Below are 12,495 nucleotides of genomic sequence, written 5' to 3' on the forward strand. Positions count from 1 at the left end.
AAAATCCTTTAATGCCTCTGGTCTCACACAAAGTAAAAGCCACAGGTTGTCCAGAGGCCTGCAGGCTCCCTAGGCCCCCCAGCCCCCTCGCTGACGTCACCTTCTCCGCTGCCCTCCAGGATGTGTCCCTGCTGAGCAGGACCCCTGCCACTCCATGCTGATGGAGGAGCTCAGTACACATTTCTCGAAAGGAAAGGAAATGTGTCTGAAGTACCATTGATCCTCATGAAGAAGGACTCATGTGTCAGGATTTCTGTTTAGATGATGCCATAGGGAATTAGGTACTTTATTAGTGCCTTTAAAATTATGAATTTTAATGGCTTTAGAGTTCTATAGACATTTGGTTTTCAGAGATTTTCCCTGTTAAAATAGGATTTTTATTGTGCCTGATTATAAAATCATATATAAAATCCACAAGAAACTTGAAAGTTATTAAAGTGACCCCAGCATCCTCAGAGAAAGCCACTGTTGATATATGGGTGACGTCGTTTCAAACTCTTCTCCCATGTCCATTGCACTTATTGATATTTCTGTTCTTCCAAGAGTTTGAAAGGGGGTTCTTACCTACTTTCGGTACTGTTCTATGTAAGAAGTGAGGAAGAATGCCTCCTCGCATCTTACAGACAGAAAACCACAAAAGCAAATTCATTCATTCATTGGTTATAAACATAGACGGGAATCACTGTTATCCACCCTTTCAAGCCCTGAAGGACTTTTATGACTTTAAAATGCCAGGTGGTGTTTTGATGGAAAGTTGGGTGATTTGTTCAAGCTGCTCTGAAGGGTAATTGCAGGTCTGTAAGTCCGAAGCCTGAGAGTACTTTGGACTTTTAAGAGCACGTTGTTGCATGTTTCACTTATGGTTCTCATAGAATTTGAGACCCATTAAAATCATCTTTTCAGCACCATAATGGGAGCGACAAACCATATCATAAAATGGATTGAGTTTTTAAACATTTTTTATTACTCTCTTTGACGGGAGGCTCTTCTCTGGTAATCTTATTACTTGGGCAGATTTCCTTTTATCATGTCATATTCATCTTTCTGAAGGACAACTATGGTTTCAGCAGCACCACTTAAGATAGGACTTTTATTAAATGCTTTGGGGTTAACTTAATTCATTAACACAGAATATAAACCTTCAAAGTAAATTCCACTTTGTTCCAAGTTTATGAACGGGAATGTCAGCCCGTCTTTGAGTGAGGTCAGAGCGTCACCAGTGAGGCCGGTGCCTTTACGCCGAGGTTGGCTGAGCGTGGAGCTGGCCTGTGACACCAGGTGAGGCATGAGCACTGCTGCATTCTCCTCCCTCAGGTTCCCAGAGGGATTCACGTTGATAACACGCCGGTGCAGTCTCGCAGCCTACTCAACATGTGCACCTTGCACTGCAGGTTTCCCCAGGGGAGTGAGTGCGTGCATCATCCCCACGGCATTCCCATGCTGTCAGTTCCCATGCTGTCAAAAGCTGACGTTTAAGAAGAATCGCCCTAAGGATCGACTTTTCATTTCTGAAAACTCTCAAAGCTTTATCTTCATAATTAGCTAAAGCACTACTTTCTGGATGCTGTGTTTTGGCAACTTTGTGGAAACCACTTTATGGAATCGAATATTTCAACCTCCCTGAAGGCTGATTTAGGAAATTACAAGATGGGGAGTCCTTTTCCCTTTTTGATAAAATTGGTGTCTAGGATAGCCTCCTCCTTGCTGAACAGCACCCTTTAATAAAAAGAGTGACAGATCCTGTTAAGTTTTAGAAGCAGGAGAGTGGCTGTTTCTGGTTGATTGGAATGCCTGCCCAAGGGCCAGTGAGGTCCCATGACCATGCCTTTGGTTTCCTCTTGGCTGTGGTGGCTTGTTTGGTTGGAATTCGGTTTAGAGATGAGTTCTTTGCAGTCAGTTTTCCTCTCCTCTTTCCTCTGCATTTCCTGATTTATGTTTTGTGTTTTACTCATTATTTTCCATCTTCACTGAATTTTACTTCTATTTATTTATTTAAGAGACAGGGTCTGGCTCTGTTGCCCAGGCTGGAGTGCAGTGGCGTGATCTCGGCTCACTGCAGCCTCAAACTCCTAGGCTCAAGCCATCCTCTCACCTCAGCCTCCCAAGTAGCTGAGACTATAGGCACATGCCACCAAGCTCAGCTAATTTTTTAATTTTTTGTAGAGATGGGGTCTCACCATGTTGACCAAGCTGGTCTTGAACTCCTGGCCTCAAGCTATCCTCCTGTCTTGGTTGCCCAAAGTTCTGGGATTACAGGTGTGAACCACTATGCCCAGCCTGAATTTTCCTTTTATTATAGGATATCTTACACCTTGCAGGGGAACAGGCAGTGAGTATATAAATTAATAAAACATTGTTGTCACCTCTGTACTAGGAAATGTAAACTTACATTGTTTATGGTAATTTATGCTAATCTTAGAACCCATTAATTCTTGGCTTACACGTCACTGGCAGCTAGATTTGACCTCTTTGCTATTTACAATGTAAGTACATGGAAAAGGCACCCGTACAGAGAGCAGGTTCTAGACTTTAATGTCAGAAATGATGGAGCCAGAATCACTCTCCATTTTCAGGTTTGTGAATGATAGAAGTGTGAACTAAATGAGTCAGTGTTGCTATATGAATTTTAACAGAAATAACTAATGTAGACTACTTTGCCAATTCACAAAAAAGGCTGATTTTACAGCTGAGATGTAATGCTGTATATAGGTCCTTATTTTGTGACTGAGATCGTATCTGTGAAAACTAAGGCTTTAAAGGAGTGTAGGGGAAATTGAAAACAACTTTTTGTTGCCTGTTAACTAGTAGAATGTTGACTCTACCAAGCAGATTAAATTTAGTCTCTGTGAGGCTTGATTTGTCCTGCTTAAGATTGAGCATTTATCATTGCATCCTGACCGAGTTTAGGTTTACATTATTCAAATTTGTTAAGCTACTGGTCCTTAAAATTTTTTTTAACATAGCCTTTTTGTATATAAGTTTGGAATTCACAGAAAACCTTAAGATATTCCATTTCCCCCCTAGTTTTAGGGCTCCTAAAATTCCCTGTTTTTTCAAAGGTTATAAAATATTAGGACATTCCCTTTCTCTGAATCATTCTTTTCCTTTCTCCTCTCGCACATGGTATAACCCAACTGGCTGATGTTAGTTTGTACACAACTAGAATGACCTTCAGGACAAAAAAGGGTTTCCTCTCGATCCGATGGAAATCTCGGGTTTTATGTTCCACTACAGGTAATTTGTTCTCCAGCTTCGGGTAAGTCAGGCATTATCCCTGGCCTGCTTCCTCACCTGGGAGGTGAGGGGTGGATCAGTGTGTCTAGGTCCCTCTCAGCATTAAGATTTGATGACTCTGGGATAACTCCACAACACAGAAAAACCCATCAGAAGCTTTATGTAGAAATGCAGAGAAGCTGAATACCCTAAATGTGGAGAAGATTGTGTTATTACCAGAAGTGTTTACAGCGATTCTAAAGTCTGTTGTTGACTCTGGAAGTTGTTTCTCCTAAGTTTTTTTTTTTTTTAATAAGAAATCAAATAGGAAATTTTGGCAAAGAGGAATGCCACTTTCTTCACTTAGAAGGGCATGACTTTTTTTTAAGAAGAGGAGTGATTTAAATCTTATAGGTTATAATACGTCTATAGCTCCTGGAGGAGACACTGGTTCCTGAGCAACTCATTCTGTATTCCAGTCCAGTATTATACATCTGAGGTTGCCATGAATTTGTCACCAAAATGTTTCTAATGTTTAACAATCCATGATTTCCCTCAACTTCTAGCTTGGCAGAAATACTCAACAAGTTCCACAAAGAATAGACAACATATTTTTAAAAATTTTCCATTGTCTTTCTCTGACTTGAGTTTTACTTCATGGAGGACCCTCTCTGGTTCTAGTCTGTCAAAGTGTAGTTTAGGGGTCAAAACTACATTGGTTCCAAAGTTTCCCAAATAGCCCATTGACAGAACAGAGCTCTAGCGACTGGGCCCTGTAGTCAGCAATTATCCAAATACCTGCTTATTTTAAGAGATTGTATTTTAGTTTTCTTCTTTGTAAATTAGCAAATACCAAATAAACATTCCAATAAAATACCATTAACTAAAGAGGAGGCTTGCTGTATGTGAGCTACCTCTTTCTCAGTAGACAGTGGTTCTCCATCTGCGCTGCCCATTGGAGCCAGGCCAGAGGGTGCCAGAAAACCCACGCTGTCTGACTGCACCTCAGGCCAGTGAGATAGGACCTGTCTGGGACTCTGACCCCAGCAGTGCTGAAAGACGTCCAGGTGATCCCAATATGCAGCTAAGAGGAGGGCCTTTCTCCTAGGGTTATCAGTTTGTTTGAAATATCACAATAATCTCGTGATTAGAGGACCTGAATGCACTGGGCTTTTGGGTGGCACAGTGTGCTGGGGACAGCCTGTCCGGAGTTGGGATGGAGGTGGAAGCCTGCCTCTGTCAACACCAGTTTTGTTAAGTTGGACAGATATTTACTGTGCTCTGCAGTTCTCATTCCAGCTTTAGCATTAATTCTTAGCACTTAATCACATTACAGCAATTTTCTAGTATTTTCTATATCACATCAAGAAGCCAATAAATTAAAATTCTCAATCTGGTCATTCTGATTCCAGTGGCCATGTGATGGAAAGACCTTACTCTGATATTGGGCTAATGACTCACTGCTGAGATTTAGATTTTATAAATTTGATTTTTTTTAATTTTTAATTTTTTAGAGACTGGATCTTGCTCTGTCACCTGGGCTTGGGAGCAGTAGCATGATCATAGCTCACTGCAGCCTGGAACTTCTGGGCACAAACGATCCTCTTGCCTTAGCTTCCTGAGTAGCTGGGAGTACAGGAGTGTGCCACTGCACTTGGCTAATTTTTAAACTTTTTTGTAGAGACAGGGTCTCGCTTTGTTGCCCAGGCTGCTCTAGAACTCCTGGACTCAAATGATCCTCCTGCCTCTGCCTCCCAAGTGTGGAGAGTGTAGGTATGAGTCACTGTACCCAGCTGAATTTGAAATTTAATAGGTTGATGTTGTTTCCGTTATCTAAGAAGTAAGAGCCAAGCACATTAGTAGCACAAGCCTTGTTAGTGTTTCCTGAGTAAGGTTGAGCCTACTTAAGACAACAAGTGATTTGGGGAACTTTGTTATGCATGGGGCCATGCCCATTACAAGTGAGTCTCTCACATTCCTTAAAGTGGATTTGGAAACTGAGGCAGTGCTATGAGATGAGGCAAAATGGAATAAAATGGGAAGAATAATATCTGCTCTAATTATTTCACAGGGTTCTTATGAGGCTCAGATCAAATTATTCATTTATTCAACAAATGTGTGATTCACCGAGTGCCTGTCACAGGCTGGGCGGCCCTCTAGATTATGAAGGAGATAAAGAAGGGAAATGTTTGGCCTTGGAAGGAGCAGCAAATTAGTCACTGCTCATATTTTTAAAATAGTTCATGTCATAAGCTCTTTGAAGAGGGCTAGCTCATTCACTTCCGAGTTTCCATGTCTCAGTACCTAGCACAGAACATAGAAGCGGCTAATATATTGGTTATATGAACGAATGAATGAGCCACAGAATTCATTTCCTTGCAAGCATGTCGTGTCTCCCCCCAACAAGTTAAAATTAGTGAAGTGTGGATGTGGTTTCATTTCTTGGGTAGTTTAATGTTCCACACCAACTTGAATATGGTAGTCTAACCTTGGATCCTTTCAAACCACAGCAATGGTGAACTTTTTAGTTAAGAGTTTGATTCAATTCAGATTAGTATTCCTTTTTCCCAATCACTGTTTTAGCAACACAGGGAGTACCTGTTTTCGGTTAATGCGCTTTTCATGTTTGGTATAAATCCATAGTCCAATATTTCTTTTGGAAAGGAAGATAAATTTTTCCCTTGACATCCCTTTTTTCCATTAAGTTAAAAAAATGTTACTTAGTAAATGTGATTTCAAACAGCTGGGTTTTAATCTTTCCACCTTATGGAAAGAGAGCGTTTGGCTCCAGCAGCACCCCCACCACGTGGCCCAGCCTCACTCTGCACACAGATTTTCTAACCTGGATGGCGCCGCTAGCGAGGCGCTTGTGGGTGTGCATTTGGGCTGTGTTCACATGTTATTCTAAACTAGGTCAGCAGCTCGGCTGGTTTCTTTTTCTATACTCTTTTAGGAGAATGTGAACAAATGGAGGATTATAATACGCTTTTTATACAGGTTCACAAAAATACTTTGAGGACTCTTAAGTTGTGTTTCTTTACAACAGGTGAAGGTTATTGTCTTGCGGGCCACAGTTCGCCGCTGAGAGGCAGGCTGGGCTCTCATGGGGTAGCCCCACACATGGTTAGCATCGCTGGAAGAGGCCTTGGTGTGCCGATGCCCAGCCTTTTATTTGAATGATTGAAAATCTGAGTTGAAAGGACCTTGGACTTGATCCAGGCCTGCCACCCTTATTCCAGACAGACAGAACCAAGGCCTGGAAAAAGGAAGAGGCTGTGACAGTCAGTGGCGGTGAGGAACCCGGGACTCCTCCAGAGACTCTGTCTTCCCGCTGTGTACTGAGTGGGCCGTGCTGTGTGAATCCTGCCAGCTTCTGTGGTTTCCTAGGGCCAAGCCCACACTCAGAATGCAGGATGACAGTCACTGTAAGATGTAATGGACCTTTCTGTGCTCAAGTGTATATAATTGTGTAACTTCCTTTATTCTTCATTGCTTAAATGGATAGTAATGTGTTAAGTGTGCAAATTTATTTTAAAGTCCTACAAAACTGAATTCCATTTTCAAATATTGATTCGTACAGACTTTAGGGAGCCTGTGTTCAGTGTGGCCTATAAGGATTTGGGTATGGGACCTGCCCTATTTTTATAGTTCACCAGCATGGCCCTTTAGCAGAAAGCACACATGATTTTCCCATGTTTTACATTGTAAATTCACTGCTACCCATGCCTGGTATTATGCCTGATTTTTCTTAGGCATGAGAGGAATGAACATCAGAGAGGTGAAATATGTTGTCCAGATTCTCACCACAGGACAGTGGCAAGTGGGAGATAAAATGTCTGAGTGTTCTTTTGTTAAGCCAGCGCTCCTGAGTTCTGATGGCCCCTGCCACGGCTGGCTGCACGGGCTCCCCCATTCTCGGAAGTGTGGAGAACTGCCAAGGATGTTTTCAAACCGAATAATAGAGCCCCACAGCTATGACTTTTGCAGAGCAGGTTGTGGAAAGAAAGAGAGCACCTGTGCTACTGTGTGGGCAGTGCCGTAGAGTGAGGCGTGCAAGGTGGGCCTCGGTGCCCCTGTGGAGTGCAGGAGGGCACCATCCTGTGTGTTTCAGACGAGGAAGGTCCTTACCCAGATGGCCCTTCTCTGAGTTTAGTGTCCTGGGCTCTCCAGATAGTCTGAGCTCCCAAACAATCATGGCATGCAAATGGGGGAAAGAAAAACCAACGACAGTCACAGCTCAAGAGCACCAAGCTTGCATTGACTGCTCCATGCTTTATATTGTACTTTTTCAGAGTGCAAATTCACCTGCACCAGTGGTAAATGCTTGTATCTTGGTTCGCTGGTCTGTAACCAACAGAACGACTGTGGGGACAACAGTGACGAAGAGAACTGTCTCCTGGTGACCGAGCACCCGCCTCCGGGCATCTTCAACTGTAAGTCTCTCCTCCCACCTGGGTGGCACTGTCTGATGTGGTTCTGAAACGGTTAGGAGGTGGGGTCACTGGGACATGGGAAGGAGGTTGTTTTCTGGTTAAGGAAAGAGATTTGCATTTTCACAAAGGAAATGTTTTCTTCTTTTAGGATAGAGGGACAGCATGTTCAAAAGTCAGAAATTTGTTCTGTTCTCTAAAGTGGTCAGCGGAGCTGTTTTGAAATAGGCTTTTGCTGTTTGTCTGAGCAATGCCTGGATTCCAGGAAATCATGTATTGATTTAGTATTCTTCATACCAACATTACTACTTCAGAAGTAATTTTAAATAAGCAAAGAAAGATATGTGGAAGGTACATAATTAATCATGCAACTGAAATATGAAAGTAGAAAAATTTACATGGGATCCTTGAAGGTTCTGATCATGTGTTTTTCTATTAGATACTGGATGGAAACAGCTTGAGTGAGGTTTTGACATGTGTGAATCCCCAAGGCTGAGGCTTTGAGCATTTCTTGAATTTGAAGAAGTGGAGTCAGAGTTTGAAGTTCGTTGGTTTTCGATCTCATGGTTTTTGTGACAAGGAAAGAGAAAGAAGGCAGCTTTGAAAGCCCGCTGAACTTCTCTTAGGAAAAGTGGCTTACTGTTTTCTGTGTTTCTCTGGGCTAAGTGAAGGGGGTTGAGGCTGAGGATCTTTCTGCAGTTGCACACCTTGGGAAGAGCGTTGGCCGGGCCGACCCTCCTCACACGGCCTTCTTACTGAGATCATTTTATGATGCATTGAGCTTCTCTCCCCAGTTTTACTGACATTATTTTGAGGAGTTATATTTGAGACAGATTTTAAAATTTTTGTTATGGAAATTAGACTACATAAATACCAGTGCTGCAAATGTGAAAATGGGAGGGGATTTAAAAAAAGAAACTATTTTCTGTATTCCTACTGTATTTTTATATGGGGGGCAAGTTACGTATGTCCCCAATATAAAAATGACTGTGCTCTAGCAAATTTTAAGCCTGCTATTTATGCTTGCTAAATTCAAGAGTCTTATAGTACAAATAGTTTTTCTCAAGTTTTTCTATTGTATTCCCATTTGCATTTTCTCCTACCAAGCGCTCTTTGAGTCCCATCTCTATACTTTGCAAAGACAGTTCTTGGAGGTTCAGGCTGGGCGCGTGCTTGCCTGGCATTGGGTCCGTGTTTTGTGCGGTAGTCTCTGTGTAATACAGCTTGCCTCTCACCTGGAGTCATCTGGCCTGCAGGCCCCTGCTCCCCCAAGGCCCAGGATGGCCCGGAGGCACTTGCTCTGGGTGTGCTACTTAGTGCATGGAACCAGGGCTGGGTGCAGGAAGAGGGAGGAAGGCTGCAGGTCAGGATGGGGGACTGGGAGCTGGGTGAGCACCTCCCTGAGGATGAGCAGGCAGCAGGCCAGAGGGTCGGGAGCCCTGAGGAACCCTGCTTGTTGGCCTTTCCACATGGATGGAACAATGATGTTTTCATCTCCTGAGCCTCAGTGCCCTCATCTCCACAATGGGGACATAAGAATGGTTATTGGAGTATCACACAGGACAATCCACAGCCAGCACTTAGAGCAGCATATTCCAGGCGCTAAGCACTCAAGATTACCTCAACCCAGGCTTGGGGTCTTAGAAGGAGGTGAGTACAAGCAGCATCTTACTCTGTTTTCTCTGGACTTGACTAACAGCAGACACACCACGGTAAGCTGTGTAGAGAATATCAGGACCTTGTGTGCTGCCTTGACTGGGTTCAGAGTTCTGGAGCCCCGGCCTCTGCTCTGGGGCGCTCCACAGGCCTCTTCTGGTCTGCGGGCTCCTCCTTTACTTCAGGGCCCTTTTGCCGAGGGCTTCCTTGTTTTCAACCCTCCTTCCTACCCTTCCCTCCTCCCTCGCTCCCTTTCTTGTCAGTATTCTTTCCGGTTTTTGAGGCCTATCTCCAGATCGCTTTTCCACTCATTTTTTAAAATGCGAGCACTTTAATTCTGCCTAGAAGCCGAGGGAGCAGTTACATCCATCAGTGGCTCAACTTTGCCCTAACAGAGGAGTCTTACGATCCTGTTGGCAAACTCTTGGCCCCCTACTGTTCAGATATGACTAGAACTTTTGTCTTTATAGCTAAAATGGGATATTATTTACAATATACTCTCTTCTAAGAAGACTGGAGAGCCAGGAGACGGAATGACAAAGGGCAGGACTGTGGCTGTGGCTTCAGATTGATCTGGGTTCAAGGTTCGGCCTAGGGGAGTGACAGCTCCTTTCAGCTTGGTTTCTCTCCCTGTGGAACAGGCACACTTCCTGCCGTGTAAGCATCTAAAGGAAAGAACGTCCATGGGAAACACAGTCTATGTCATCGTGTTGCAGTTGCCATCTCCACTCCCCACGTGGCCCTTCCTGGGGAGTGCACTGCTGTGACTTTGTATGGTTTATCTGTAATGTCAGAGCCATTGTGTACACGGAGCAGGAATTCACGGGTGTCCACAAGTGCACTTGCCCAGTGATCCTGGATGATTCTCCCTATTCTGTCCCCTGGGGAAGGCTGCCACCTGGCCTGTGGCTGCCCCCTACGTTCCCCTCAGGTTCTCTGCAGGAGCCCGAGGGAGCTGGGCGAGTGGTCATGGGGAGACGCTCACGGCGCGGGTTGCCTCTGGATTGTTCTGTGTGGCTGGGAGCTCCGGGGCAGGTGGTGGTTTCTCTGTCTTCTGCTGCAGCTCACCTCTGCCAGGTGTGTGGCTTCCCAGGGGAGGAGGCCAGAGGGTGGCCTCGTATTGAATGGCTATATATTCTCTTCCCCGTATTCTGTTGGGCAGCGAACAGGGATATTTCACTTCCTGTTAATAGCTGTGAACAAGCCTTAGAGCCTCGGGTGTTAGTGGATGACACTTTTTATTGGATCCTTCACCAGCCCGTTTCCTACAGCAGGCAGACAGCCTGCCTTTCATGGTGTGCTGCTCTGACGGTAAGGTCCCCTTCCTCTCCACCTGGACGGAATCAGAGTATCCCACGAACTCTTGTCTATGAAGTGCCATGCTTCAGAAAGGCGATGCCTCATTCTTCTTCCTGCTTAGGAGCAGGATTGGCTTGTGTGATCTATGTCACCTTGTTCCCACCTGGGGGATATACTCAGTGTTCCGGATCTGAGGGCACTGAGGCTGAAGCGAGGTGAGACCTTCTGGATTTCCAGATGAGCTAGAATCAGTTTAGTTTCCTGGCCGTGCCGTTAGCTTTGAGTATGCTCCATGGCTCAGATGTCTTGGCCATATCTCCCATTTGATATTTGCTAAATTTCAGCATGAATTAAAGTTAACAAGAAAATGTTACTGTTATTTGTAAAGCCAGCAATACTAAGAATCACAGAAGCTCTGAAAGTTGCTCTAAGTAGCTTTTATCTTCAAACAAAAATGTGTTTGGAGCCCAGGCTGAGGCATAGTGGGTTTCATCTGCCTTTTGCCTCTCCTCACCATGGTCAGGTTATGGTTGGACCGAGGCTGCTTTATTCTGCTGAGAGACCAAAGGGTTTTGCATGGACGTGGAGGTCTGGGCTGACATCCATTATCTCCTGGGGAATGAGTTTTCCTGGCTGCATCTTTCTGTGGAAGAGGAAATATGCTGTCAGCCTAAGTTGCCAGGTTTTGTCACATCTTTTCTCTGGCTGCTCTATCAAAATATTGTACCCCGAGCACTAAACATACAAATTACACAAACACAATTATTTGTTATTTACACAAATAAAATAATTATACAAATTATTCCTTATACAAACAAAATTATTTATGAAGTACCTTCTCTGGTCATTGTACTAGGCCTTGTGGAAACGAGGAATGAAGGAAAATATAGACCCTGCTATCAAGGTGCTGAGAGTGGGGAGGCGAATTCACACCTGCACAAAGATAACTAAAAATGGGCCCAGGGAGTGAGGGCCGAGCGGGTCCAGTCATTCGTAGTTCAGGGGATAGAGAGATTCATCCTGGTTGGATTAGTGGTCACAGTGGCTTCCTGGAGTAGGTGTGCTGGATGGCAAGAGGAGAGGACAGAGTGCCAGGGCCCAGAAGAGCATGAGCGTAGGTTGGCAATGAGGGTGGCGCTGTCTTGGGACAGAAGGACATGGCTGGGGCCCGCGTGGGGCACGGCTGAGAAAGTGGGTTGGGCCTAGAGAGACAGAAGCCAATGTATAAGGCTGCACCTCCTGCCCTGGTCCTAGGACGGGCCACCTGCTGGCCGGCCGGCTGCGGGGAGCCTGAGGCTGGCATCCCACTTGGTGGACCTGCCACCTCATTGTTCCTGCCCAGCCAAGCACGTCCTGTGGTGCTGTGTTTCCAAAGCCCCTTGGCCACATCTTAGTGGGGGACAGCAGCGTTCCTTCGACCGTCCAGAAGCGATAATTGAGTGGTCTGTGCAGCCTGGCAAGTGCCACGCCCTCCGAAAGCCTTGGTGAGCACAGACCCCCGAAGCCAGCGCTGCTGAGGGATTCTCACCACTGGACCTTAAGAGTAAGGTCAGCGTCGACAAGAAGCCACAACTTTCCCTTTGAGCTTCAGTGGAATTTCCACTTAACTGAGAGAATCTGATTCGGGGAAAGCAGGGAGAGGAGCAGCTCCCCCTGCTACTGGAGGGTTGGGAGGAAGCTGCTTCTCTCTATATAGAGACCTCATCAAACTGACCCCAAATTAAATGAACTGGAGCTGATAAAGTACACCCAGTTATGCCAGGATTATGACTTTAGGACTTTTTCAGGAGGCAACTTTTTCCTCCCATTGCCATTTAGGGTAATAACAACCAAATAAAATAAAATCCAACTTATTAAAATCTGAGCTGATTATTTTACTTCCGAAACCAGCTCTTCC

At 44.8% G+C, this 12,495-nt stretch overlaps 1 protein-coding gene across 45 annotated transcripts in view; it reads left to right on the forward strand.

Moving 5' to 3' along the window:
- LDLRAD4 (low density lipoprotein receptor class A domain containing 4) overlaps window positions 1–12,495 on the forward strand; it is a 435,073-nt gene that overhangs the window by 213,057 nt on the left and 209,521 nt on the right. For 28 of the 45 annotated variants that reach the window (NR_172142.1, XM_047437773.1, NM_181481.5 and 25 more), the window contains one exon: window positions 7,506–7,646. The exons of 16 other annotated variants lie outside the window; for them this stretch is intronic. Coding sequence is in view for 23 of the 29 variants with exons in the window: in XM_047437773.1 (XP_047293729.1) it covers window positions 7,506–7,646 (141 nt within the window). In the remaining 6 variants the exon portion in view is untranslated. Of the gene's footprint in view, window positions 1–7,505; window positions 7,647–12,495 lie in introns of those variants that run through there. One more of the 45 variants, XM_017025970.2, reaches the window with a different exon arrangement.

The sequence above is a fragment of the Homo sapiens genome, chromosome 18 (genome assembly GCF_000001405.40).
Source record: "Homo sapiens chromosome 18, GRCh38.p14 Primary Assembly".
NCBI classification, from domain to species: domain Eukaryota; kingdom Metazoa; phylum Chordata; class Mammalia; order Primates; family Hominidae; genus Homo; species Homo sapiens.